The 27,311-nt window shown below is 40.0% G+C and overlaps 1 protein-coding gene and 1 pseudogene across 3 annotated transcripts in view, besides 2 other annotated features; one reads left to right on the top strand and one right to left on the bottom strand.

The window, feature by feature from the left end:
- DGKH (diacylglycerol kinase eta) overlaps positions 1–27,311 on the bottom strand; it is a 216,515-nt gene that overhangs the window by 183,767 nt on the left and 5,437 nt on the right. For 2 of the 3 annotated variants that reach the window (NM_178009.5, NM_152910.6), the window contains exon 1: positions 23,853–24,170. In NM_178009.5, the coding sequence (NP_821077.1) occupies positions 23,853–24,044 (192 nt within the window). In that variant the 5' untranslated portion in view covers positions 24,045–24,170. Of the gene's footprint in view, positions 1–23,852; positions 24,171–27,311 lie in introns of those variants that run through there. The other variant, NM_001204504.3, reaches the window with a different exon arrangement.
- MAPK6P3 (mitogen-activated protein kinase 6 pseudogene 3) lies at positions 940–5,101 on the top strand (annotated as a pseudogene).
- Positions 23,864–24,393: a silencer, noted in NCBI's record as "silent region_5297". NCBI's record gives its function as "represses an Ori minimal core promoter by ATAC-STARR-seq in GM12878 lymphoblastoid cells {active_cell/tissue: GM12878}" and the evidence as "EXISTENCE:reporter gene assay evidence [ECO:0000049][PMID:35858748]".
- Positions 24,934–25,023: an enhancer, noted in NCBI's record as "active region_7638". NCBI's record gives its function as "activates an Ori minimal core promoter by ATAC-STARR-seq in GM12878 lymphoblastoid cells {active_cell/tissue: GM12878}" and the evidence as "EXISTENCE:reporter gene assay evidence [ECO:0000049][PMID:35858748]".

Raw genomic sequence — 27,311 nt, 5'->3', positions numbered from 1 at the left:
CGCCCTGAGAAGGTGACCTCTGAGGTGAGGGAGGGACTTTTATTAGTTGAAAATCCCTTTTTCTTTTGTTTAAAAATTCATTGGTTAAAAACATTACATTCTATAAGGTGTTAATTATAAACAGAACTCCACATACATCACCCTGTCTAGGCTTTCATAATGAGATTTTACAATCTAGTAAATTTAGAAATGATCTAAAACAGAGCTAATGGGAAGCCACTGTCTCATGACAGTGGGCAGATCTGTATTTCTTTGCAAGGTAAACATTTTTTTTCTTGATCATCACAATTCAAGTTTGTTTTAGATGCTGATTTTATTTACTTACTGTGGAACATCATCTATATTCTTTTAACATCAATACAATAATTTATCTCTTTTAAGAACCAATATGTTCCAGCCACAGTTCTAAATACTCAAATTATCTCATGCAAATCATCACGACAACTCTGTGAGGTAGGTACATTGATTGTCCAGATTTCAGAGATAAGGCTGGGTTACAGAGATTAAGTAACTTACCCGAAGTCACTTAGAGGGTAAATAGGACAACTGGGATTTAAGACCAGGCCTTTCTCAAAACACAAAGTCCATGATCTTAACCACAACACTGCATTGCCTCAAAGATAAGAGCGGTTATGTCATACAGCATTTCAATATGCCTGCTTACTAACTGTTCAAATATAAACTTAATAAGAAAGTGACCTAACAAAAGTTTTTTCTTCTAATTCAAACATTAAGCAATATGAACTCATAGGAGCAAAATACAGCTCCTATTTTTAAAGACCATCTTGGGAATCTATTACATAAACACTGAGTAGTGATGCCAGGGTCTTTACGATAGGGAAAAGGAAATAAAATGTACTGATAAAAGTAAACCACATCCTTCTGTCTCTAAGAATGTCTCTAGTCTCAGGGTTGTTCCTTTTAAATTAAACCAACATGGCCCTCTCTCACGGGTCGGTGTTACATGGCGGTGACTGCGGCAAAGTGAGGGCCTCAGAGACACCACTGCCGCCAGCACAGCCAGAGACCTGAGCTGACATTGGGGGCTGTCCGCGGGGCCTGCACTCTCTTGATGAGTCAGAGAAGTCCCGTTGTATCAGAGTAAGATGGACAGTAGCTTTGATTTTAATTGTGGTGAGCTGGAGCCACCTGTTCATTAACAAAGGACATCTTCTGTTATCCAACAGCCGCCAGGGGTTCCTGTTGAAATATATAGCAACAAAGGAAGAAAAGAAGCAAAACGCAAATAGTGCTTACCAGCACCTTAGAACGATGCTGCTCAGGACCAGTCCAACACTGAATGTATCTGCACTGTGAGGAGAATGTTCATAGAAGCCTGTTGTGTGCATATTTATTCACATTTTTGTTAAATGTTAAATCGTTTAGCAGAGTAATCTGAGTGCATAGTATGTCATTTCATTCTGTTTGAGTTTCTTGAGTGTCTTCTTTAAATGTCTGCAGAGTTGCTGCCCCTTTCTTGAACTATGAGTACTGCAATCTTTTAAATTCTCAACATGAGTAGAGCTTTTTGAGCTTTAAACCTACGGGGAAATCAACAGGCCTGTTTGGCAGAAGCAATGAACATCAAGAAACCATCTTGCTGTGGAAGCATAATTATTTTTCTTATCCCTTTTTGAAAGATCTTTCCTTTTGATGCCAGTTTTCTTCCTTGTTTACACAAGTTCAACAATTCCAAAGGAAAAGGCAATCATAAGGGTTTCAAAGTGGCAGAGAAATTTGAAAGTCTCATGAACATTCATGGTTTTGATCTGGATTCTACGTATATGGACTTAAAACCACTGGGTTGTGGAGGCAATTACTTGTTTTTTTCTGCTGTAGACAATGATTGTGACAAAAGAGTAGCCATCAAGAAAATTGTCCTTACCAATCCCCAGAGTGTCAAACATGCTCTATGTGAAATCAAGATTATTAGAAGACTTGACCATGATAACATTGTGAAAGTGTTTGAAATTCCTGGTCCCAGTGGGAGCCAATTAACAGATGATGTGGGCTCTCTTACGGAACTAAACAGTGTTTACATTGTTCAGGAGTACATGAAGACAGACTTGTCTAAAGTGCTGGAGCAGGGCCCTTTACTGGAAGAGCATGCCAGGCTTTTCATGTATCAGCTGCTACGGGGGCTCAAGTATATTCACTCTGCAAATGTACTGCACAGAGATCTCAAACCAACTAATCTTTTCATTAATACTGAAGACTTGGTGCTGAAGATAGGCGACTTTGGTCTTGCACGGATCATGGATCCTCATTATTCCCGTAAGAGTCATCTTTTGAAGGATTGGTTACTAAATGGTACAGATCTCCATGTCTTTTACTTTCTCCTAATAATTATACTAAAGCCATTGACATGTGGGCTGCAGGCTGCATCTCTGCTGAAATGCTGACTGTTTTGTAAAACCCTTTTTGCAGGTGCACATGAACTTGAACAGATGCAGCTGACTTTAGAATCTATTCCTGTTGCACATGAGGAAGATCGTCAGGAGCTTCTCAGCGTAATTCCAGTTTACATTAGAAATCACATGACTGAGCCACACAAACCTTTAACTCAGCTACTTCCAGGAATTAGTCGCGAAGCACTGAATTTCCTGGAACAAATTTTGACATTTAGCCCCATGGATTGGTTAATAGCAGAAGAAGCGCTCTCCCATCCTTACATGAGCATATGTTCTTTTCCAATGGATAAGCCAATTTCAAGCCATCCTTTTCATATTGAAGATGAAGCTCATAATATTTTGCTTATGGATGAAACTCACAGTCACATTTATAACTGGGAAAGGTACTATGACTGTCAGTTTTCAGAGCATGATTGGCCTATACATAACAACTTTGATATTGATGAAGTTCAGCTTAATCCAAGAGCTCTGTCTGATGTCACTGATGAAGAAGTACAAGTCGATCCCTGAAATTATTTGGATGGAGATCGGGAAAGGTATCTGGGGGATCCTGCTTTCCATACCAATTACTCTGCTGAGCCTTGTTGGCAGTACCCAGATCATCATGAAAACAAATATTGTGATCTGGAGTGTAGCCATACTTGTAATTACAAAACGAGGTCATGATCATATTTAGATAACTTAGTTTGGAGAGAGAATGAAGTTAACTGTTACTATGAACCCAAGCTTATTACAGATCTTTCCAATTGGAAAGAACAAAGCAAAGAAAAATCTGATAAGAAAAGAAAATCAAAATGTGAAAGGAATGGATTGGTTAAAGCCCAGATAGCGCTAGAGGAAGCATCACGGCAACTGGCTGGAAAAGAAAGGGAAAAGAATCAGGGATTTGATTTTCATTCCTTTATTGCAGGAACTATTCAATTTAGTTTCCAACATGAGTCTACTGATGTTGTTGATAAATTAAATCGACTTGAATAGCTCAGTGTCCCAACTAGAATTGAAAAGTTTGATATCAAAGTCAGTAAGTCAAGAAAAACAGGAAAAAGGAATGGCAAATCTGGCTCAATTAGAAACTTTGTACCCATCTTCTTGGGACAGCCAGTTTGTGAGTGATGGGGAGAACTGTTTTCTCATAAATCAGTTTTGTGAAGTAAGAAAGGATGAACAAGTTAAGAAGGAAAACACACTAGTTACTTAGACAAGTTCTTCAGCAGGAAAGAAGATCCTGAAATGCTAGAAACTGAGCCAGTAGAGGATGGGAAGCTTGGGGAGAGAGAAATGAGGAAGGATTTCTGAACAACAGTGAGGAGTTCCTCTTTAATAAGCAGCTCGAGCCCAATAGGCATCCCGCAGTTTCACAGTCCAGTTGGGTCACCACTTAAGTCAATACAGGCCACATTAACAGCTTCTGCTATGAAATCTTCCCCTCAAATTCCTCATCAAACATACAGCGGCATTCTGAACATCTGAACTAAAACACTCAGCAGACATTTATCTTTGTATTCTTATGAAATGTATTTTGTCTTTTTTATTACTAGAGTTTAAGTCATTTTTTACTTGAATCAGATGGTGTCATTTAGTAAGGATTTTATGAGTACTTGGTTTTTAAAATCCAGACTTTCTTTTTCTACATGTGAGATAGTTTTCATTTTAACTGACATGTCATTTGCAAAATGAATAGAGCAAAATAATGCAATGCAGGAGGAGACAAAAGAAATGCACTAAGACAAGTGAAGACCATCCTCTCATAGAACAATGATCTGTTTTACAGGAAACAAATTTTGCCTTGAAATTTACAGTGAGACTGTACATAATTGCATGAAAATATCTATTTTTATCCTAAGACATTTTTCATTCATGAGTAGTTTCAAGTTTTTCATACTGTACACATTTCGTAAAACACACGATACCAGAAGCAACTGAAAATGAATGCTGAATTTGGTATATGTGTGTTATCTACCTCAAAGTAACAAAAATATGCGGCAAAACATACCACCCATAGTGCTTCACAAAACGCACTTCTATTTAGCCAGTGTGTATTGTAGTAAACTATTCTTAATAAGACTCATTCACTGTTTATAAATGTTCTGGTATTCATTCTTTATAGTGAAGTGTTAATACATCACATCTTATTTATTTTAGCAAATCAATATATTTTCTGTATTTAATTATAAAAATTAACTTAGTTTTTAAAATTTATTTGCAAATACACTTTTTCCATTTGGCACTATGGTTTGTTGCCTACCTAGCCGAATCTATGTCAGTTTATCCTAAGGCGGTCCACATACTCATTTTAAGTAACGTGCTCACTGTGTATAGGAATTTGTATTTTGGAGGTGCTTGATCTAGCTACAAAGAAAAATTAATTAGGAATTACTTTATTATAAAATGCTCTAGAAGTCTTAATTGTGTTTATTTTTTTAAAAAAATGAATGTTAGAATTGTGTGCATGGAAGTAATTAAGGTACATCATTATTATAGTTTAAAAGTTGTACATGATAAGACATTTTGTTTTCACTGAATGATCTATTCCCCATCCCAAGGCAAGCATGAATAAAATTAGGTTAAATGTAGCATGTGGCGTCACAGTCTCTTAGAATTTGTTTCATCTATTTTATTTTATTGAATACTGTCTATATCTTTGGTTATCCTGTTTGAAGTAAAAGGACAAATAAAACATGGCCAGCAAAAAAAAAATTAATTAATTAATTAATTAAATCAACTATAAAAGCAAGAAATGTACTATTAATTGCTAGATCAGTTGTGGCAATAATTAATTAAAACTAAAGATTAAGAGGTAATATAAAATGTTGGCGTTAGCACACACAATGGTATCTATTTGTCATTTCAAGCCTTTATGATCTTTCTAGAATAAAAGACATTTTTCTATGACATGAACAAATTATCTCAAAGCCAGATATGTGCTTGGTGAGGAGAGAAAAATGGTCTTCTTAAATGAAATGAGTAATTCTGTGTTCTATCTTCAAATTCTTTTTTAAGCGTGTTGAAAATTAAAGCATAAACTAGTATCTATTTTTACAGAAGAGATTTTTGGGTATACTATTCTGATTTGATATACTATTCTCATTTGATAGGTTCTAAACTGATGGATTTCAACTCAAATATTGGTTTTCCTTGAAAAGCACAGAAATTAATACTATTTTTCCCTTAAAATAGTTTAACACGCATTTGATTCTCATTATTTGCAGTAGTTATGTTCAATAAAGTCACTACAACTCTAGATTAACAGATATTGAACCACTGACCCTATGGGAAATACTAGGTTTAGGTTCCTGCAAACCTCTGGTCACAACATCTTTGTCAATTAATCAACATATAATTTCATTTTATGTGTGCTTCTGTTTAAAGAATATGTGTATATACATATATATTAACAATATATATGACATATATAACATCACATGTTATATGTTATATTCTTAATAAAACATATACATACATTCTTTAAACAAAATGTAAGTATACTTGATTCATTAACACTGAACTCAGGGCCAACGGCACTATAGCTCATGCCTGAAGGAAGCCTGACTAATACACATATTTTTTCAATAATGCACATCATAACATTTTACTTTTAGGAAAAAACCAGACAGCACTTCCGCACAGGGGGCCGCTGTAAACAGTGAGATCATCAACAAAAAGTACAAAAATGCAAAACCACGTCATGAAAGGGTGCTTGTTTATTGCATGAGAGCTAAAACAAGAAGACAGAGCACAGCCAGGTTCAACCTTAGCTGCGAATGTGCACATTGGGCAACTCCAATTTTTCACATGTGAAAAATTACATACAAGTATTGATTTTGGAGTCACAAATAAATGTTAGTGAGTAGGTAAATTAGCAAATACTGAAACCATGAATAAGGAAGATCGACCCTATAAAATGTTAAGTACATACATGTAGTGTTTTTTGTTATGTGAAAATATGCTAAATGTGGTGGTGTTCAATAATGTCAGCAAATTGCAGTAAAGATTCCCTGACACCTGAAAATGCGACCTTTCACCTCACAGTGACCTGTCAGAATTTCCCTCCAGTTCAAGGCTGAATAATGTCCCATTATTATATGTGTGTGCCACATTTTGTTTATCCATTCATCCATCAGTGAACAGTTGGGTTGCTTCCACTTTTTGGCTCCTATGAATAACGCTGCTACGAACATGGTGTAGAACTGCTTCACAATTGTATTGTTTTCGGCTGGGCGCGGTGGCTCACACCTGTAATCCCAGCACTTTGGGAGGCCCAGGTGGGCGGATCACTTGAGCTCAGAAGTGACCAGCCTGGCCAACATGATGAAACCCTGTCTCCAATAAAAATACAAGAAAATTAGTCAGGCATTGTGGTACACGCCTGTAATCCCAGCTACTCAGGAGGCTGAGGCAGGAGAATTGCTTGAACCCAGGAGGCAGAGGTTGCAGTGAGCCAAGATCACACCACCGCACTCCAGCCTGGATCACAGAAGGAGACTCTGTCTCAAAAAATAATAATAATTTTAATGTTTTATATATCATATGATCACATTGCTTGTGGCTAATTAAAGAGTACATCAAGCTCCCCAAGCTTTATCAGCCTACAGACAAACATGGGGTTACAATGATGACAATAATCCACATTTTACTACTGGCTATTTCCCTTACTTACTCCGATGGGACCCCGGCCTCCTTCCTCACCCAAGTATTTCCTACAGAATGTCTCACATATGCTCATATTCGCCTCTCCCTTCAACTACCCCCAGTCCACCACTGTACAGGAAAGTAAAGTTCCTGTGACTCACCTGTTCACTCCAGACCCTCAATTACTCCACACACCCTGGGGCCTTAAGGCAATGCCATAAAGTGATTCTCTCCTCTCCCTTCATTATATCCACTCCCTTGTTCCATAGCAAATGACAATGAAGGAGTTGATCCAACAGGCTAGGGTGTTGCCTCTCTAAGAGGAGAAAGAGTAAGACCACAAATACTCAAACGGTAATAATTTAAAATTGTTGTGACATCCATGAATGATGATAAGGTAGAAGTGTTTATTACCAAGGGAAGGTTGAATTTCCTTCAACATTCTTCCCTTCCTACTGTGGAATCTTAGCTAGATCTATGATAAAAAGCTCTGTCTACTTAGATGATACTCAATCTACAAAATCTACAAAAAGGTTTACAAACAGTTCTGGTTTCTGGCTTGTCCAAGGCAGAACATGCATGAGAATTCTTTCCCTGTGACTGGAAGATTTCACTAGCTTCTCATTCACTCACACCCTTCTGACGTTCGGAGGTGCCCTATTGGAAAAAGTGCCCTTCACGTCAAGATTCCTGAATACGTAATTGGCATTTACTAGCACTTACTGTATGCCAGGCTGAAGGTTTTATCTCCTTAATCCTCAGAATATCCTTATGAACGTTTACATATGAGGAAAAGTAAGGTTTGAAGAGGTTATATAACTTGCCTAATAGGAACTCAAACTGGGACTCGTGTTCTTCAATGCATTTCAGGGTTTCATTTGTAAATTTAAAAAAAAAAATCCAAATCAGATTTATTTCTTTCTTTAGGATACTTTCTTTTTGTGTTCTAAGTAAAACGGTCTTTGTATTTTACTAAAGAGGGCCCCCAGCTGTGCATACATGAGCTAGAGATTTTCCCCAGCAAAACCTGTTATTAACGCATCTCTAATGCATATCTAAAATCATTAAAATTATACAGTTTCTTTTAGTACTCTTTCTTTTCTTTCTTTCCTTTTTTAAATTTGAATGATTAAAGTTTAATTCTTGGACTTAACCTCTGCCAACAGTCTTCTCTTCCTTCCTACCTCAGCTGCTCAGTCCCATGGTTACTCCCTAGGACCTGACTCGAGCCCTCACTCTTCATCCAACATCATTTCCAGAGCTTGTTACTGTATCCACCCACGCTTTTCCTGGCACACACAGACAAACCGCAACAGTGGTTTGACCCTGTCCTCCACTTCACTTACTGCACCCAAGCAGCTGAACATGATCCCACACCAGGCTGACAGCGCTTAGAGTCCTGGTCACCCGGCTCAGGTGTGCCCTAAATGCAACTTGATATTCACACTGCTGCATTTCTCTAGTCTATTCCCTTTCCCACGCCCCTGTTCAAGCATTTCATACCTTTCCTCTAGCCTCAGACCTCCATACCCTCTCCATCTTGATTCTCAGCTGACGACCTAACTTCATATTCCACTGGGAAAATCAAAATAATCAGAAAATAATTTCTAGAAGTGCCAACCTCTGCCCCTACTGCATTTTATGGATAAAGTGGCTTGTATGGATAAACTGACCTGCTCTGAGGGAAGCCCAGCTCCTCACGCCATCCCACCCCATCTCGCATATATAAGGACATTGCTCCAGTAATTCTCCTCTCTTTTTTTGCATCATTTAATCTTTTCTCTCAGCTAGATTATTCTCCTCAGCCCACAGTATATATATATATATATTTTTTTTTTCAGACGGAGTTTTGCTCTTGTTGCCCAGGCTGGAGTGCAATGGTGCGATCTCAGCTCACCACAACCTCCGCCTTCCAGGTTCAAGAGATTCTCTTGCCTCAGCCTCCCGACTAGCTGGGATTACATGCATGCGCCAACAAGCCCGGCTAATTTTGTATTTTTAATAGAGACGGGGTTTCTCCATGTTGGTCAGGCTGGTCTCGAACTCCTGACCTCAGGTGACCCACCCGCCTCAGCTTCCCAAAGCGCTGGGATGACAGGCGTGAGCCACCACATCCGGCCAGCCCACAGTCTTTCTCCTAAAAAAGTCATTTCACTTTTTTAAAAAAGCTGTAGCTTGACCCCAGCATCCCTCTCCAGCCACTGCTTCATTTTTTCCCTCCTCTCGTTTAAAGGGTTTGTTTTAGATGCTGATTTTAAAGATCAAACTTGCTAATGGATCGGCAATAGTATTCTTTTAATATTAATATGGTAACTAGCATCTATTAAGTGCTAATTATGTGCTAACCACTGTGCTAAACTGTCAAGGAAATTGTCACAGCAACCTCTCTACTGCTCCCCTGATGTCTGACTTTTTTTCCTGCTACTCACTTTCCCCTCACTCCCTTCCCACCAGCTGGAATGTGTCAGCTGTTCGGGAATGCTCATCCCTGGAATGTGTCAGGTGTGTCTCTTCCTCAAAACCTTTGCATTTGCTGTTCTTTCAGCTTGCTCTGCTCTTCCTCCAGATATCCTCATGGCACTCTCTTCAAAAAAAAAAATAGGTCCAGATACATTGCCCTAGCAGGATTTTCAAGTGTTCCCAAGACCTTTTTCAAAGGTCCATGAAGTCAACACTATTTTCACAATAATCCTAAAATACACACAGCTTTTAATATTCTGCAATGCACTCATAAAGCTCCAAAGAACATTTTTTAAACCTGAATGTAGAATCATTTTACCAGTTTTTATGAGAGCCACCAAGAAATACCAGATTTTTCTTCCCATAATAGCTAAGAACATATCACTCCATCCCCTTGTATCAACTACAAGTGAACAGATAAATAAAAACGCAGATAACCTGAGATTCTACACTTTGAAAGTATTTCAGCAGATACCTGGTTTAACCCGAGAACTGTTTCAAGTACATGCCATTTATTCAATCTTCAAAAATAATTTGGATTTTATGCCTGAAGTTGGCCGTAACTAAAACTGCCTTAATTACATCTCCTACAGAACTACTGTCACACAAAGTTGAAGTCTGGATTATGTCCTGACCTCACAAGGGAGGACATCATAAGGACACCTCCCAAGTGGATGTAGGTGAGGGGAACATATTGCAGACCTCACTCCCACCCACATCAAAGACTGATAGAACATATTTCTTTGGTTCCCCCAAGGAAAGCTAGAAAAGCTTTTCCCCCTTAAAATCTAGAGGGCTTTTTTCCCGCTGGTAATACGACTTTATAACTGGTCTTGCTGCTCTGGCTACCCGGGATCAAATTTACAACTCATCTCTAGCTGTGCAAGACACCTCACTCTATATATTAGCCTTCTAACCTTCTTCCTAATCTCATAGTCCTCTAGCCCTATTTTACCTAAGCTTAATACACAGTGTGGAATATAAACCATTTTGAATATTTTGAAAAATGTGTGGAAATAATGGTATATAAATAAAAAGTCAAACAGAGAAATAGGAAAAGGGAGATACCTGTAACACTTGGATGGATGAAAATGCCTGCCTTACTTTGGAAACAGAAGAGTTTGCATGACTGTACAGAGGATGACAGTGACAGAAAACACAACTGGAATACCATGGCATTGGCTCTGCCTAGGGTGCTTGGAGCCCAGATATCTGCATACATAGCTTCTGTCACTTCACTAAGATCTCTGTTCAAATATTACCTTATCAAAGAGAGTCTATCCTGGTCAATTGAACCCAAATATTTTACACACACACACACACACACACCCACACACACACTCTCCATCTTTCTCCCTTTACCCTGCTTTATCTTCCTTCATTATGCTTATGAACACCAGCTATATGATAGAACTGTGTCTGTGTATACGTTAATTAACTTCTCCCTTGATAGACTATAAGCTCTATAACAGCAGGGCTTTTATGTTCTTTTACCATCTCAGCACCTAGAATAGAACTCAATAAAAATTGGTTGAATGAATAGAAAGGTCATTTAGTATCAAATTAGAAAAGACTAATTTAGACTTTATCCCACCAGTAATGGGCAAAGTCTAAGAGCTTATGCAAAATGTATTATGTATCATATTTCTCTTTTACAAAGATAACTCTGGCACTGGAGTAGAGAATGGAGAAGAGAGGAAATATATGGCAAAAATCCAAATGACAGATAATAAAGGTTAAATGAAGTTAGGGTAAGCAGCAAATGGAAAGGGAGAAATGAATTCAGGAGAGATTCATGCAGCAAAGGGACAGTATATCATAATGATATAGGAGTTAAGAAGAAATTACTTAGACAGATAGCAAGAGTATGGGAGTCCTCGGTAAGGCTTTTCTTTTTAATAAAAAGCAGCCCCAAATCATTTTCTAACAAAGAGCGGCCTACAAGCTGGGAGCTTGCATAGGTGAATGCCTGCAGGAACTAAGGACTAGACATTTTCAAGATGGCAGTTCCATCTTCCCTTCTCTGCCAGCTACGTGTATTGTAAGGAGCAGACAAGATGGCGCAGATCAACGGGAAAGCCCAGTTGCATAAGAAGATTAGGGTGGGGCAACCAGCCTTCCACACATGCTATATAAACATCATACCTGATTGAACCAATCTGTGAGCCCTATGTAAATCAGACACCGCCTCCTCAAACGGGACTATAAAACTCAGTGCATTTGCCATCAGCCAGTCCTTTCTGCTCGGAGACCCCTTCCTCTATGGAGGAAGTTGTTTCCCTTTCTCTTTTATTCTACCTATTAAACCGCCGCTCCTAAACTCCTCCTGTGTGTCCATGTCCTAAGTTTTCCTGGAGTGTGACAATGAACCCCAGGGTATATACCCCAGACAACATAGCCACTTCAAAAACAGTTAAATCAGGCATCAAACAAGTCACTTGACATGTGTGACCTGGGGCATGTTACTTATCTAATCTTTGGTTTTCTTATTTCTAAAAAGGAGAGAATAATTGTACTTACCTACCTCATAGTTTTACTATGAGGATTAAATAAGATCTAAGATATACAGAAATGAACAAATTTGGTGACCACTGACTATGAGTGAGGTCCTTGTGGGTGGGGATGTGTCTCTTTCATACACTTCTAAATCACCAGCACCTAACACTATGCCTGGCCATAGCAGGCACTAAATGGGTATTTGATGAAAGCAAATGAATTAATGATAGTGATTAGCAAGACAAAAAGTCAATCCCTTCTATACGAGGCAATTTATTCTACAGGACATAAAAGCTGTGGAGCAAAATTTGGCCGGGAATGAGTAGACTGCACAAATATGTTCAGTTTGAGAATACGGAGACTGAGATGGCTAGGGGACCCCCTACAGGAAATGTCTGGTAGGCAAAGGAACTAGAGGCCCAGATCTCAGAAGTACAGGCTAGAAAAAGACCGATAGAGGTGGTGGTCAAAGCCTAATCTAATTAATCACATTAACTTAGGAAGGGGCAAACAGAATTAAGACTTCTAGGAAACAAAAACATTTGACAATAGATAAAGGAATCAGGGATAGAGGCTAAGAGGCAGTGAAAAGACAGTAAGAAAGATAAGAGAACTTGGCTGTGCCCAGTGGCTCATGCCTGTAATCCCAACACTTTGGGAGGCCGAGGCCGGTGGATCACCTGAGGTCAGGAGTTCGAGACCAGCCTGGCCAACACGGTGAAACCCCATCTCTACTAAAAATACAAAAATTAGCCAGGCGTGGTGGCATGCACCTGTAATCCCAGCTGCTCAAAATGCTGAAGCAGGAGAATCACTTAAACCTGGTAGGCGGAGTTTGCAGTGAGCCAAGATTGTGCCACTGTACTCCAGCCTGAATGACAGAGTGAGACTCTATATATATAAAAAAAAAAAAAAAGAAAAAAGAGAGAGAACTTAAACTTTGAAAGCAAAAGAAGAGAAGATGTGAGAAGATGTGGTCAATAGCATCCAAATTGGCAAGAAGCAGTTGACTGAAAACTAGAGACCACTCGATTTTAGCAATTAAAATTACTAAGGGCCTTTGCAAAAGAAGTTTCATGAAATAGCTGCAGTAGAATGAAGAGTAAATAGAAGCTGAAGAAGGGCAGATAAGAAGGCTCTTAGAAAGATATTTCAAGATTAAATAGAACAGGCCATAGAAGCACCTAAAAGCCAACCTGGCCAATTATTTCCACTACCACCTCCAAGTGGTCATTCATTCTTATTAAAATATTTTTTCATAAGACACTTGAAGGCCAGGCGCGGTGGGTCACGCCTGTAATCCTAGCACTTTGGGAGGCCAACGTGGGCAGACCACTTGAAGTTAGGAGTTCAAGAACAGCCTGGTCAACATAGAGAAACCCCGTCTCTACTAAAAATACAATAATTAGCAGGACACAGTGGCACGCACCTGTAATCCCAGCTACTTGGGAGGCTGAGGCAGGAGAATCGCTTAAACCCCAGAGGCAGAGGCTGCAGTGAGCTGAGATCATGCCACTGCACTCCAGCCTGGGCAACAGAGCGAGACTCCGTCTTAAAAAAAAAAAGAAAAAAGACACTTGAAAAATCATTAACAAAAGACAGTGGCCTATACACACCACAGATTAAATTATGTAAAAGACACACATAGGAGTAATTATCAGAATTTTAATACCAATTTTTTAAAATAATTATAATAATTACAGATACAAAAACATATTTTATATTTATTTAATCACCATTACTACCTTACAAGGTAGGAATACTACGTCCAATTTGGAAATGGAGAAATCCTCAATTCAGAGTGATGATGTGTATTGCTCAGGGTATGCTAACTGCTATAGCAAACAATGCCCAAATCTCAGGGACTTAACACAATAAAGCTCTATTTCCCCCTCATGTCAAAATCCAATGTGGCTAATGGGATTCAGGGAGGAGCACAAAGGGCTCTGCTCCATGAAGTCATTCAGGGATCCAGGCTGCTTCCACTGGATAATCTGTATCTACCTGGCAGGTGAGGGAAAACATAAGGCATGGAGAGTCCCACAGCTTGAGAGGCCAAGTGACAGACATCACTCTCACCTGTATTTCACTGGCCAGAAGTCAGTTACATAGCTCCATCTATCTGCAAGGGGAAAAGGAAGTCTAATGGTGGGCCAAGAAGAATAGAAAAACACAGTTATCAGTGGGCACAGCATTCTCTGCCCCCTTAAGTAACATGTCTGAGGTCATCTAATATAATATAGTACATGACAAGCTGAGAATCAAACCCAACACTATCTAACTTCTCCAGGAACCTTGCTATTCTATGCCGCTGGCTCACTCCATTTCATTGAACCCACCAGCAAATTTAACATTTCTCCAAATGAAAATGACAACAGCTGGTTTATATTCAAGAGTTCAATATTACTGTGGAATTATATTGTGTATTCAGTAAGTCCTCACTTAACAACATCAATAGGTTCTCAGAAACTGTGATGTTAAGTGAAATGATGTACAGTAGGTCCTAGAATAACACTTTTTCATGCATCATTTCATTATAACATCAATGAGAAAGAAAATTGGTTTTGTTATATGTCATTTCACTTAAAAGTCAGTTTCCATGAATCTATCAACGATGTTAAGTGAGGACTTACTACATATATATGTATTTTTTTCACCTATCTCTATTTTCTGACCTGCAGTTCCCTTTCACAAATCAGTGGTTTTAACCTTCTGAGGGGCATACACATAGACATAAACTTTGGTGGAGAGCCCTCTAAAACCCAACAAAACCAGGGATGCATGAACCCAGGCTAAGAACTTTTCTCTATAGTACCTTACTTTGGACACTGTTAACTCACTTTCAACTTTCTACTTGGTTCCCCCCAACCCCCTTCAGCCCCACTGACCTCCCTCTTTGCAGCTGCTGTTCCTTCTACTTAGCCTGCTCTTCACCCAGAGGTCCACATGGCTCATTGCCTAAAAATCCCTTCCCACTCCACCTCCACTCACAGCCATGCTCTATTTCTCTCTATAGCACTTATCACCTTCTCATATACTATGCGTTTCAAGTATTTACAAGTTCATAAATTCTCCTTGCATTAAAATGTGAGTTCCATGAGGGCAGAGGTTTTTGTATATTTTTGCTTACTGCTCTATCCCTGGTACCTACAGCAGTACTTGGAACACCATAGATATTTCTTTGAATGCATGAATTGAGGAGCAACAAAGGAGTAAACTGAGAAGGAGCACACAGGAAGATGCATGATATTGAAAATGTTCCCATTCTGAAGCTGGATTCACGGGTGTTCATTTTACCACTGTGCTTCACAAACTACAGAGATATTATATATTCTTATAAATATCAAATATTATAATATCACATAATTTTAAAGTACTACAAGAGTGTCGAGGAACAATACAACTCAAATCACCGTGCCTGCTCAGATAAAACTCTTGCACTTTTTCTTACCTACATAAAATAGTGAGATGGAGAAAAGTAGGCCAAAAAATTCCTGTCGTTTTCATTCTCTAGCTAGGTAAAAATAAATTTTACTCATATTTTTTCCTCAAATATGTTTTAATAGGCCATGTGGAAAATTACTTCACATGATTCTTTTTAACACTATACCATGACCTTTCAAAAATGGCATCTTACCTTATAGAAGTGAAACTAACAGTTTTCTTTGAAAACCTATTTGAAGAGTTAGGTACCTAGAAGCATTTTTTTCTAAAATAATCCTTTTAAAAGTACGTTAAAAAGTCTCAATAATTTTTGTTAAGTTTAATTCAAATGAATATAAATTTCAGCTGGAATTTTTTATTTCAAAATTTACTTTTCAAATGTGCAGTCATATATCTGTCCCTAAAAACGTAGGATCCAAATGCAAAACGGCATGATGAAACCTAAAACATTGATGAGAGATATGCTCATGGATTAAACAAACGAATAAAGGCAGGAGCAGGAAGAAGGGGGAAATAAGGGAGAGGAAAAGAGGAATCTAAGGGAGAGAGAAAAGAGCGAAGGGAAGGAGAAGGAGAGAGAGGCCAAGAGAAGTAAGGAGCCTGTCTGCCTGCACACACACATGATTGCATGCTGTAGATTAAAGTTTCACTGCCCAAGAAGCTACAGGGCTACCGAAAGCAAGGCATCTGGAACCCACCCATTTTAATCCACTGTGAAAGGGATATGGGTACAATCATCAGAAGGAACTGCTTTTGAGTTCCAGCTTTGTCCGTTACTCAGCAGATATTCAAACTTTTGTATAATCATTTATAAAATTTAGGTAACTGTACACAACTGTTCCATAAGATCATGTATAGAAAACTGCTCTGTAACCAATAAAATGCTAAATAGAAAAGTATTTCTAAATTTCTGAATTAAATGCACCAAGCTTGTATTTAAAAAGATCTATTATGCTAAATTACATTCTGGTGGTCTGAAAAAGTGCTGATACTCAAATGACACAGTGAGAAGGTCAGAGATTCCAGCCCTACACATGACAAAGTTAACCGTACTTCCTCATATAAAACAGAAGCCTAACAGTCTCCCAAATAGCCTCATAACAAAAAGCAGGAGGGAGAGAATTATTACCATATATGATCATTTGAAAAAAAAATAAGGAACTATATAAAATAGGAATGATGCACATTAACTCCTAATTTAATACTATCACCAATAGCTGTTGACCACTTTAAAATCATTTAACCAACTCAAAAATACAAATGTTTCTTTATTTCTTTTGTTTTAGAGGCAAGGTCTTGCTCTGTCACCCAGGCTGGAGAGCAGTGGTTCCAAGTAGCTGGGACCACAGGTGCCACCACGCCCAGCTAACTTTCTTATTTTTTAATGTTTTATAGAGATGGGGTCTCCTTGTTTTGCTAAAGTTTGTCTCAGACTCTTGGCATTAAGCAACCTTACCAGCTCAGCCTCCCAAATTGCTGGGACTACAGGCATGAGCCACGGTGCCCAGCTACAAATGTGTTTCCAGTGACTAAATAGTCATAGAGTAAAATACTCAATATCCAACAAAACCAAACAAATTTGCCAAGGGAAACTGTAATGTACTAACATGTTATGGCCTTTTTCAAAGGTCTATTCTTAGATGTAAAACAAACTCTCTTTAATTAAAACCTTTGCTTATAAACACATTTCCTGAGTAAGTAAAGCCTAACAAATCCAATATGAGTGAAAAACACTGTACCCTGGAAACAGAACGGGGCCCCACGTCCTTTATACTGGTAGTTTCATATAACCTTTTGCCTCTTTACCACAACAGCAAACAAGCAAACTTAAACTAAGTGAAAGAGTTCTAAATTTAGATACTTTAAAATACGGCATCGTTAAGTTATATGTAAAGGTTTAGTAAATTATTTATTATGTCTCTTATCTTTAATAATGGGATATCATGTTTAACTTGTAATCAAAATGGAAAGAAAGGTGTTATACCATATATTACTGTACTGAGAGTCAGAATTTCCAGTCTATATTTAGTTCACATTAAAATGGAAGCAAAGACGCAAACCAAGCTAAAAATAAAATGTTCTACAAAGATTAGATTTTTTAAATGGACTGAAATCTAGCTTTATTTGGTCCCTTAAATGTGGATCATATTTAACAGCACCTTAACTTTGCAATGCTTGGCAAACCTAACTATACTACCTTCCATTTTCTAACATAGGTGCCAGCAAACTACAGCCCACAGACTATATCCATGGGCCATATCCTGCCGGCCGCCTGATTTTATATAGTCGACGAGCTAAGAAGGTTTTCACATGTTCAAACTGATTTCTTAAAAAGAGGAATAATAATATTTCTTAGCACATGAAAATTACATGAAATTCAAATTTCAGTGTCCTTAAATAAAGTTTTGTTGGAACACAGCAACACTTAAAGTATTGTCTATGGCTGTTTTATGCTACAATGACAAAGTAGAGTAATTTTTTTTCTTTTTCTTTACTAAGGTATAATTGACAAATAAAAATTGTACATATTTCTGGTACATGGAGTGATTTTTCATGTATGTATTCATTGTGAAATGATTAAATCAAGCGAATTAATATATCCATCACCTCACATACTTAATTTTTTGTGGGTGAGAACATTTAAGATCTACTCTTAGCAATTTTCAAGTATACAATGCTTTATTATTACTACAGTCACCTTACTGTACAAAAGAATTTATTCTATTCTCCAGAATAAGAACTTATTCTCAGAATTATTCTGGAGTTATCCAGTTCTCCCCAGCACCCTCCCCTTCTTAGTAACCTCCATTCTCTGAGTTAAATAATTTCAGCAGACACCTTATGGCCCACAGAATTTAAACTATTTACTATCTGGCCCTTTATGGGAAAAGTTAGCCAACTTCTGACCTGGATGTGTGTTAATTGCTTGAGATATCTTTCTGCTCATCACCTATCAAAATGTAAAAGTTCCTACTTGCTTCTCATTTCATATTGAGTTTCAGAGCAATAAGGCTGTCAGTATCACTTTACTCTCATTTCCTAATATTCTTCTGGCCATGTTTCTGTTTCCCATCTATTTGGATCATTATGATTCCCATGTTTCCACACAGAACTCTAGCTAAAAGTTTTAAATAATATTTCCTAATTTATTCTGTTTCTCTTTTAAATGCTGGCCATGAACCATATGACCCAGTAATGGGCTGCCACCTACAATTTCAAAAACACAGAGCAAGGCTTCCCCAGCATACTTCACCTAGGGTTTGTGATGAAAGATAATGTTTTAATGGCACAAATTGTACTTTGTAAGGCAGTGAAAAATGCAAATCAATACTTTCATATACTGCCTTACCATAAAGGAACAAGAGTTTACTTATACATCCTTCATATTAAATTAAAACCAAGATATCAATTGAAGAATGTGATCATTATCCTTACTGGGCTTAAAAATACATGTTTTTGGCCAGGCGTGGTGGCTCACGCCTGTAATCCCAGCACTTTGGGAGGCCAAGGCAGGTGGATCACAAGGTCAAGAGATCAAGACCACCCTGGCCAACATGGTGAAACCCCTGTCTCTACCAAAAATACAAAAAAATTAGCTGGGCATGGTGGCATGCGCCTGTAGTCCCAGCAACTCAGGAGGCTGAGACAGGAGAATTGCTTGAACCCAGGAGGCGGAGGTTGCAGTGAGCCGAGATCATGCCACTGCACTCCAGCCTGGCAACAGAGTAAGACTCCGTCTCAAAAAAATATATATATATACATATATAGTTATATATATACATATATATAGTTATATATATACATATATAGTTATATATATACATATATAGTTATATATATACATATATAGTTATATATAGTTATGTATAGTTACAGTTCTATACATATAGTTATATAGTTATACATATAGTTATATATAGTTATATATATAGTTATATATAGCTACATATAGAGTTACATATATAGTTATATATATACAGTTACATATATAGTTATATATAGTTATATATATAGTTATATATATAATTAGTAGTAGTAGTAAGATTTTTTTTTTATTTTACTTTAAATTCTGGGTTACATGTGCAGAACCTGCAGGTTTGTTACATAGGTATACATGTGCCATGGTGGTTTGCTGCACCAAAAATATATCTTAATCCAGATAGAATACTGGTGTGTTTTTTGGTCTTCTTTTGGGTTTGTTTTTTTCTTTGAGATGGAGTCTCACTGTTGCCCAAGCTAGTCTTGAATTCTTGGGTTCAACTGATTGTCCTACCTTGGCCTCTCAAAGTGGTAGGATTATAGGCATAAGCCACCGCCCTCAGCCTAGATAAAATGTTGATGCAAAATTCTGAATATCTTTTTAGTGTTTAGGTATGTTTTACCTAAATTTAGAGACTCATTTGTGGCCATTAGCTGTAAGAAGACATATAAATGTCAAAAAATAAAAAATAAATGAGAACACAATAAACCTCATCAGGAGTATTTTTGACACATGCAGCTTCACAACCTTAGCCGAGATGACCCAAAGGCAGAAAAAGTCATTGAGATGGTTCCCATTTGTTTATACTGTTTGGTTTATGATTGTTGAACAATCCTAGGCTGTAAGCCTGACCAAGTTTCTTCCAGCCATTCCCATAAAATGAAAGGTTGCAGTATTCATGGGCCAACAAAAAACACACAAAGCTTCTTTCACATTCATCCTCAAAACCCAATTTGTCTGAATCTGTATTAGCGTTGTTTCAAAAATATCTTATTCTCAGTAAATACCTGTGAAATTCTCTACAACAGTATGTCTGAATGCAAATCCAAAAACTCAAGAAGGTAAAGAGGGGGAAGAGATATGACAAGTGTTAGGACTCCATTTTGGCTTTCCTGCATCAGCACCACTTTCACTTTTGTACATAAGTGACTTTTTGTCTTTGGGAAATAAAGGCAGGCATAAAATCATTTAGTGTTTAGCACCTGAGTGGCTAGATGAGACCACCTGAAATTCCACTTAGGTTATTCAGAGAAAGGAAAAAGTTCAAAACAGAGGAAGAGGAAAATAGTAGAGAGGACAGCATAGACATACAAAGAAACCAGGAATAAATGGAAAATGAAAAGGGGAACAAAAAGTATACTGTATGGAGTTATGATGAGGGTGCTAAAATACACATGAGGATTTTATTAAGCCACACTGATTTCAAAAGCATACCAGTTCCATTCTTTACTTAAAAACCATCAAATCCACTATGAAAAAGCTGAGATTAGTGCATTGTCCTAAAACAACCCATATTTACTTCTGCAAAAAACTGGTTAAATGATGACATATTAGATTGAACCATATGAAGCATTCCATATTTGACCAGTTTTGACCTACTGACAAAGCAGGATAGATGAGCAAGAACTGCTTGTGCTGTCTTAAAAATGACTGGGGCTGAGGCCGTGGCTCACCCCTGTAATCCTAGCACTTTGGGAAGCCAAGGTGGGCAGATCACCTGAGGTCGGGAGTTCGAGACCAGCCTGACCAACATGGAGAAACCCCATCTTTACTAAAAATAAAAAATTAGCTGGGTGTGGTGGCGCATGCCTGTAATCCCAGCTACTCGGGAGGCTGAGGCAGGGGCAGGAGAATCGCTTGAACCTGGGAGGTGGAGGCTGCAGTGAGCCGAGATCACACCATTGCACTCCAGCCTGGGCAACAAGAGTGAAACTCCATCTCAAAAAAAAAAAAAAAAAAAAAAAAAAAAAAGATGGCTTTGAGCTAATCTTAGGGCCTACCTCTCCTCCAGGTGCTCCCATCTTACACACCTGTGCGGAGACACAGAAAGTATTTGTCTTTTTCTAAAGATCCTTCCTTAATTCTCATCTGAATCATAATTGAAGACTGGGAACCAACGTTAAATTTAGTAGTTCTCATTCTATAAATTCCCCCTATTGCTCTCACTTTCTTCCCCAAGAATCAGTATATGTGATAAAAGACGTAAATAATGAAGTCTGTGACATACATGAACAGTCCAGTTGCAGGAGGCGGGGTATGAGGTTGAAGCTCACTGGTCTCAGAATCTTATACCCTGATCTCAAGTGTTCATATATGAAAATGTTGATGAACTTACATGCACTCTAACATAGGAGAAATTGTAAAATGCTGAATTTCTGACATTCAATACACTTTTGAAATTCAAGCAATATTTGATTTCATAGTCAAAAATGATCTCTCATGGCAAAATGTATGTGCTAAATGTTTTTATTAGAAAGTCAGATAGAAAATCACAAATAATGTGCTTTTTAAATTTACTTGTAGTCTCCATAAGCATATAATCTTAGCTATTACAACGAGCGCATGAAACCTATAAAATACAGTGGTACTCCCAACAAATTTGTTGTTTGACATGATTCAATTCAATTTAGAGCCATCTCTCAGTTTTCTTTCGAACAGTATAAATCTACTGGTTAATCCTGATATAAGTATGCATGGAATTTTGACCATTTCATATAAATATGTAACATACACGTTTGTTTGTTTGTTTGCTTGTTTGTTTAAGAGACAGTCTCGCTTCATTGCCCAGGTTGGAGTGCAATGGCAAGATCTCAGTTCACTGCAGCCTTGAACTCCTGGGCTCAAGTGATCCTCAGGTACCTTGTTCTCCCAAAGTGCAGGGATTACAGGCGTGAGCCACCATGCCCGGCCCCTATACAATTTTTTTTTTTACCTGCCATTTTGCCCATCATTAACACAGTTTATGAACTTTTTTCAGAATTAAGATTTGAAATATTAAAAACACTTTTAGGAAAGTCCCTAACTTTGTAAAAGCCTTAATCTTAAAAAACACATTAAATGCCATATTCTTAATTTACTACAAACTCAAAAACGTCACTATTAAAAGGAGTTACAAGATGTACTCTTAACTAAAGTGACTGAATCCCTAACTCTTTAGTAAGTGCATCTTGTCAACAGTTGTTCTTGTGTGTTGTTCTTACACACATGTATTTCAGAAAATAAGGAGGCAGGCTACTACAAACATTAATCCACTAGCTTTTTTTTTGTCGCTCAGGCTGGAGTGCAGTGGCACAATCTCTGCTCGCCACAACCTCCGCCTCCCGGGTTCAAACGATTCTCCTGCCTCAGCCTCCCGAGGAGCTGGGATCTCAGGTGCACGCCTCAAAGCCCAGCTAATTTTTTTATTTTTAATAGACATGGGGTTTCACCATGTTGGCCAGGCTGGTCTGGAACTCCTGGCCTCAAGTGATCTGCCTGCCTTGGCCTCCCAAAGTGCTGGGATTACAGGCATGAGCCACCGTTACCGGCCTCCACAGGCACTGAATAAAAATTATGTTTCCAAATAGGAGTTCATTGACCTTAGGGAAAATTTTTCATAAAAATAACTGTAGAATGAATTTTTTGCAAATTTATTTTTAAAAACGGTACCCCAAGCCAATGATTTTGTGGTTCCGTTTTCAATATCCTCGTTAAATTTCCCTACTGATAACAGACTCTCTCTGTGAAGATTTTTAAATTACAATGAAAATTAGAATACATAAAAATCCTTTAATATCCATAAGCATTTGCTTTGGTATGTTCATGATCAAATTAAAAATTAACTTTGAGACCTCACAGGTCGACAGCACAAGCTTCATTAACAAGAGTAACACACCATCCTAATGTCCACACAGCACAGAGGTAACTTCTCATTATTAAAAAGAACCATGGACGCATGGTTCTGAACCCTGCCTGCACTTGGCGGGAACCTGCGACACGAAAGCCTGGCCAGCCCTTGGAGCCATGCAGGGTGCGGTTAAGCCGCGAACACCATGTCCCACTTGCCTGCCTCGGGGCTTCTGCCTTCCAGACCGCAGCAGGAGGCAGAGGGGCAGGAAAGGCTGACCGGTGTCACCTTCCACCCACCCTCTGAGTGGGCCTAAGTGGGAAAGCAGCAGGGCTCACTGCAGCGCAGGCTGGTTGGCCAGCACATGCGCACGCTCCCCCGAACGGCAGGGAAGAAAAATTGAAACTCTCCTTTTAAGTTCCCTAAGTAGGAACTCGCGACTGCGCGTCAGCTTTTTCCCACGCTCCCGCCGAGCCGCGGGTTCCCTGCACCCGCCTCTGCCAGTCGAACTCCCTGGGAGCCCAGGCTCGCAGCCTCCCGCGCAGCCGCCGGGAATCCGTCCCGCAGCACCGCGGTCCAGCGCCCCCGGGCCCCGCCCCACCCCTCCCCGCCCCGCCCGCGCCCCAGGCCCCGCCCCGCCTCACCGTCTCACCATCCCCGCCTTCCCCGCCTTCCCCGCCTTCCCCGCCTTCCCCGCCTTCCCCGCCTTCCCCGCCTTCCCCGCCTTCCCCGCCTTCCCGGGATCGCCCGGCGCGTTCCAGCGCCCCCGCGCCCTCTCCACCTCCCGCTTTCCACGCGGCCCTCAGGCCCGCCTCCTCCGCCCTACCTTGGTCCGGATCTGCCCCGAGGTAGACACTTTGCGGATCAGTTTCTGGGGTCCCTCTTGCTCCGCTTCGCTGTCAGACGAATCCTCTCCCGGCCCCGCCGAGGCAGCGGCGGAGGTGACCGCGGCGCCGGCTCCGGCGGCCGCTCCTCCAGCGGCGCCCGGAGGGTGGTGCTGGCCTCCGGCCCCTGCCATCCTCTCCGACTCCTGCGGGGACACAGCACCGCCCGGCGGGGGCGGCGGCGTTGGTCAGCGGGTGGGCTCTGCCCGAGCGGAGCCCGGAACCCCGTGCCCGGCCGCCGCCGCCATCTTCCGTTTCCCTAGCTACCCCCGCGAGGTAAGGGTCGCCCGGGGCAGGCGCCCTCCAGGCAGGGGTCCACCCGGCTCCTCCGCTCGGTTCCCGCCGGAGCGGCGGCCACGGTGGGACGCAGAGGTAACGGACCCCCGCCCGCCTCGGACCCCTGCGCACCCAGCCTCGGATAGGACCAGCGCGGGTAGAGAGGATGGGGTGACAGGGTTTGGAGCAACATCTCTTCCACTCCCTTACGGTCTGGGTCCCTAGGATGGACAGGAGGGTGGGGGAGGCAGGAAACCTCTGCAGCCCACCCCGTAGTGGCGATGCCCGCACACCCCCTCTCACTTCTGGACAGCAGGGGCAACGCCGATCCCTGGGGAAGAATGGGAACCTGGAGCTTCCTCCCAGCACCCTTGGGTGCACCCGCCACCTCCTGAACCCCGAATCTCTCCAGAGACACTTGGGCCTCGCCGCGCGGTTCCAGCTGAATAAAAGTCCCCTCTGCCACCAAGACAGTCGGGGGCTGCCCCTCGTCGGTTTCCCCACCCCCAGCCCCACTCCGAGGACCGTACCTCTCCCGCCTCCGCCAGGGCCGTCGGGTCCCCTCAGCTCTCCTGACGGCGGCGTTCAGTTTCTGGCCCACCCCCACCCCCATCCGGCGCACACGGAAGAGAAGAGCATTTTCCGGGAGGTTCAGCTCCGCTCTGAGAACTTTTCGTTCAGAAAGAGCGATCCCCTTCGGCTAACAGGAAACTGGGAAGGGCGTGGAGAAAGCGCAGAAACAAGAGACTACACGCAGCCCAAGACGACAGAACGCACAAGAAGTGTCTAAGCTGAAGCGCTAACCGAGATTGCCTGGAAGAAAACAATACACTCGAGCCATGCGAACACCAGTACCCGAGACAAAAAGCCTTGGAAGTCCTGGCAGAGCCACTCCCTAGCCCGGACTAGAGCAGGAGGAAGTGGGATCAACAGGCTGTAGCCACCGCGCACAACTCCCCTGCAAGCTGGCTGCGCGGGCACTTGGGAACCGCGGACTGGCAGCGGGTTGTGCACGCTCAACGTCAAAGAAGCCTCACAGGTGTGAGGGGGCTGCGGTGAGGGGGCTGCGAGAGAAGACATTAAAACGACAGATCCCTCTTGTCATCCAAAGAGAACACCAAACTGGTGTTAGCTATATTTTTAAATAGGACAAAAAGTCCCTGCCAGACTGTGGAGTCTCTCCACCTGGAGAAAGCATTCAATCTCTGTTATGTTCATGCCTTTCAGTACCATTCCTTTCGTATTTTTTCAGTTGACATGACCTTTAAGGTTCCTCCAAACTAAGGTTCTAATTTTTTTTTTTAACTTGCAGTCTTACTCCCAACAAGAAATTTGATATATTAGAGCTAACAGTTCTAAGAAGTTTTAAGAAATAGTATGCAATCCCAATACTGGACATCACACTGTAAATTAAATTCATTAAAATGTAAAATGTGTTTAGTTCAAATATTTAAAGACAGGAGACTGCTGCTATGTAATAATAACAGAGAGGCTATTTCTGCAGCTTCTGTTGTCTCCTTTAGGAAAGGAAGGAGTTGGGCAAAATGAATTTTAAGAACGCTTAGAACTCTACAAATATGTAATTCTTTATCTACAAAGAACATATTTCTGGAAATTCTTAAAAGAGAAAAATAATCAAAATAATGGCCTTCATTCCCACCTGTTTGGTCATGGACAAGTCCAATATTTTGGAAATGTAGACAAGGACACCTAGTAAAGGGTCTTTTGAAAGAATAAACTTAGTTTAGTCTTCTCCTTTAATGTAAAGAAACTAAGGCCCCAACTGACAAACTGAGACCAAAGTCAAAATCATGCGGTTAGTATTCTAATGTTCTATTCACTTTATCACACTGTATAACAAAAGTCTGTCAGTTACCATATACTTCTATTCATACATTATGTGTTTTATATAGCAACATTTTCCAGAATCCAGGCAGCGAGTGATTAAACTGAAAGGCATTATCTAATGCCCAGCCTGATTTTGTGATTTTAACAGGTCAGATTACGCATCTCACTCTTTGATTTGAACACTGATTGCTTAAAGATACTTAAAAAGTTTCATATCCCAGAGCTGAGCCATTTAATACCTCAAAGTAAAGGTATTCCTTTCTCATAAAGATTTAACCTCAGAGCCAGCTTTGCACTTCTGCAATCACCTCTTCTGAAGAGCCAGTTTCAACGAATCCATTATTTAAGATACCTGACTTACTAGCCTCTTCTCGGTCTTATCTGTAAATTAGAAGTTTTTAGAATGAATATCTAATTTGTGCACTGTGTACCTGCAATGTACTTCACCTTCCTCAAGAGTATTACAAGGTCAAGGTCTCAATCTTTCCAACCATTTCAACCATGTAGCTCAAAATAGCAACTGAAACAATTTCAAATATGTGGTATCTTACATTATTTATTTGATTTATAAGAATTCCTTGATCTTTTCCTTACTTAGTGATTTCAGATTTTTCAGTAATTGCTTAGATGCATCTTACATTTTTATTGTTACTTTGAAATCTCTGTTCAGAACATGTGACAAACACACTATTAAAGACTTCAACATAAGCTGTGTAGACACTGCATTTAGGGTGAAATGGAAATAGGTGGTAGCTACCCCTAAATTAGGTTTTTACTTAATAGAGATCCTGGCCCATTAAAACAAAGAACACCTATTAGACTGAAGATGTGTAAGTCACAGCCAAATTTCATGTCAACTTTATGAATATTCGTGTATTATTTTCTACAGAGGTATTTTGAATTGTATTTTTACTGATCACTACTCATAACAAAAGGGGTTTTATACCCATTGGCAACTTTCAAATCTCACATATTCTATGGCTTTATCTTAAATATTACGCCATAAATACGCAGAATGTTACATTTTATATCCTGAAGAGTTCAAAGTGTTCTAGGACTTGTGTTCCTAATCAATAAGGAACCATGCAAAGAATACTGCAGGTTGACCAAGTACAGGCATTGAGAAGCTGCCTTAATTAAAACTTAAGAACACGCTATTTGCTACATATTAAGAATTTAACATTCGAAACTTTTAACCTATTACCATTTCCTTAGTTGTTACCTGAATGAAAAAGATTTGGGGATTAACTGTGATATTAACTGCATATACATATGGT

The sequence above is a fragment of the Homo sapiens genome, chromosome 13 (assembly GCF_000001405.40).
Source record: "Homo sapiens chromosome 13, GRCh38.p14 Primary Assembly".
Classification (NCBI taxonomy): domain Eukaryota; kingdom Metazoa; phylum Chordata; class Mammalia; order Primates; family Hominidae; genus Homo; species Homo sapiens.
The sequence above is the reverse complement of the archived record's forward strand: the minus strand, read 5'-3'. Positions and strand labels throughout refer to the sequence as shown.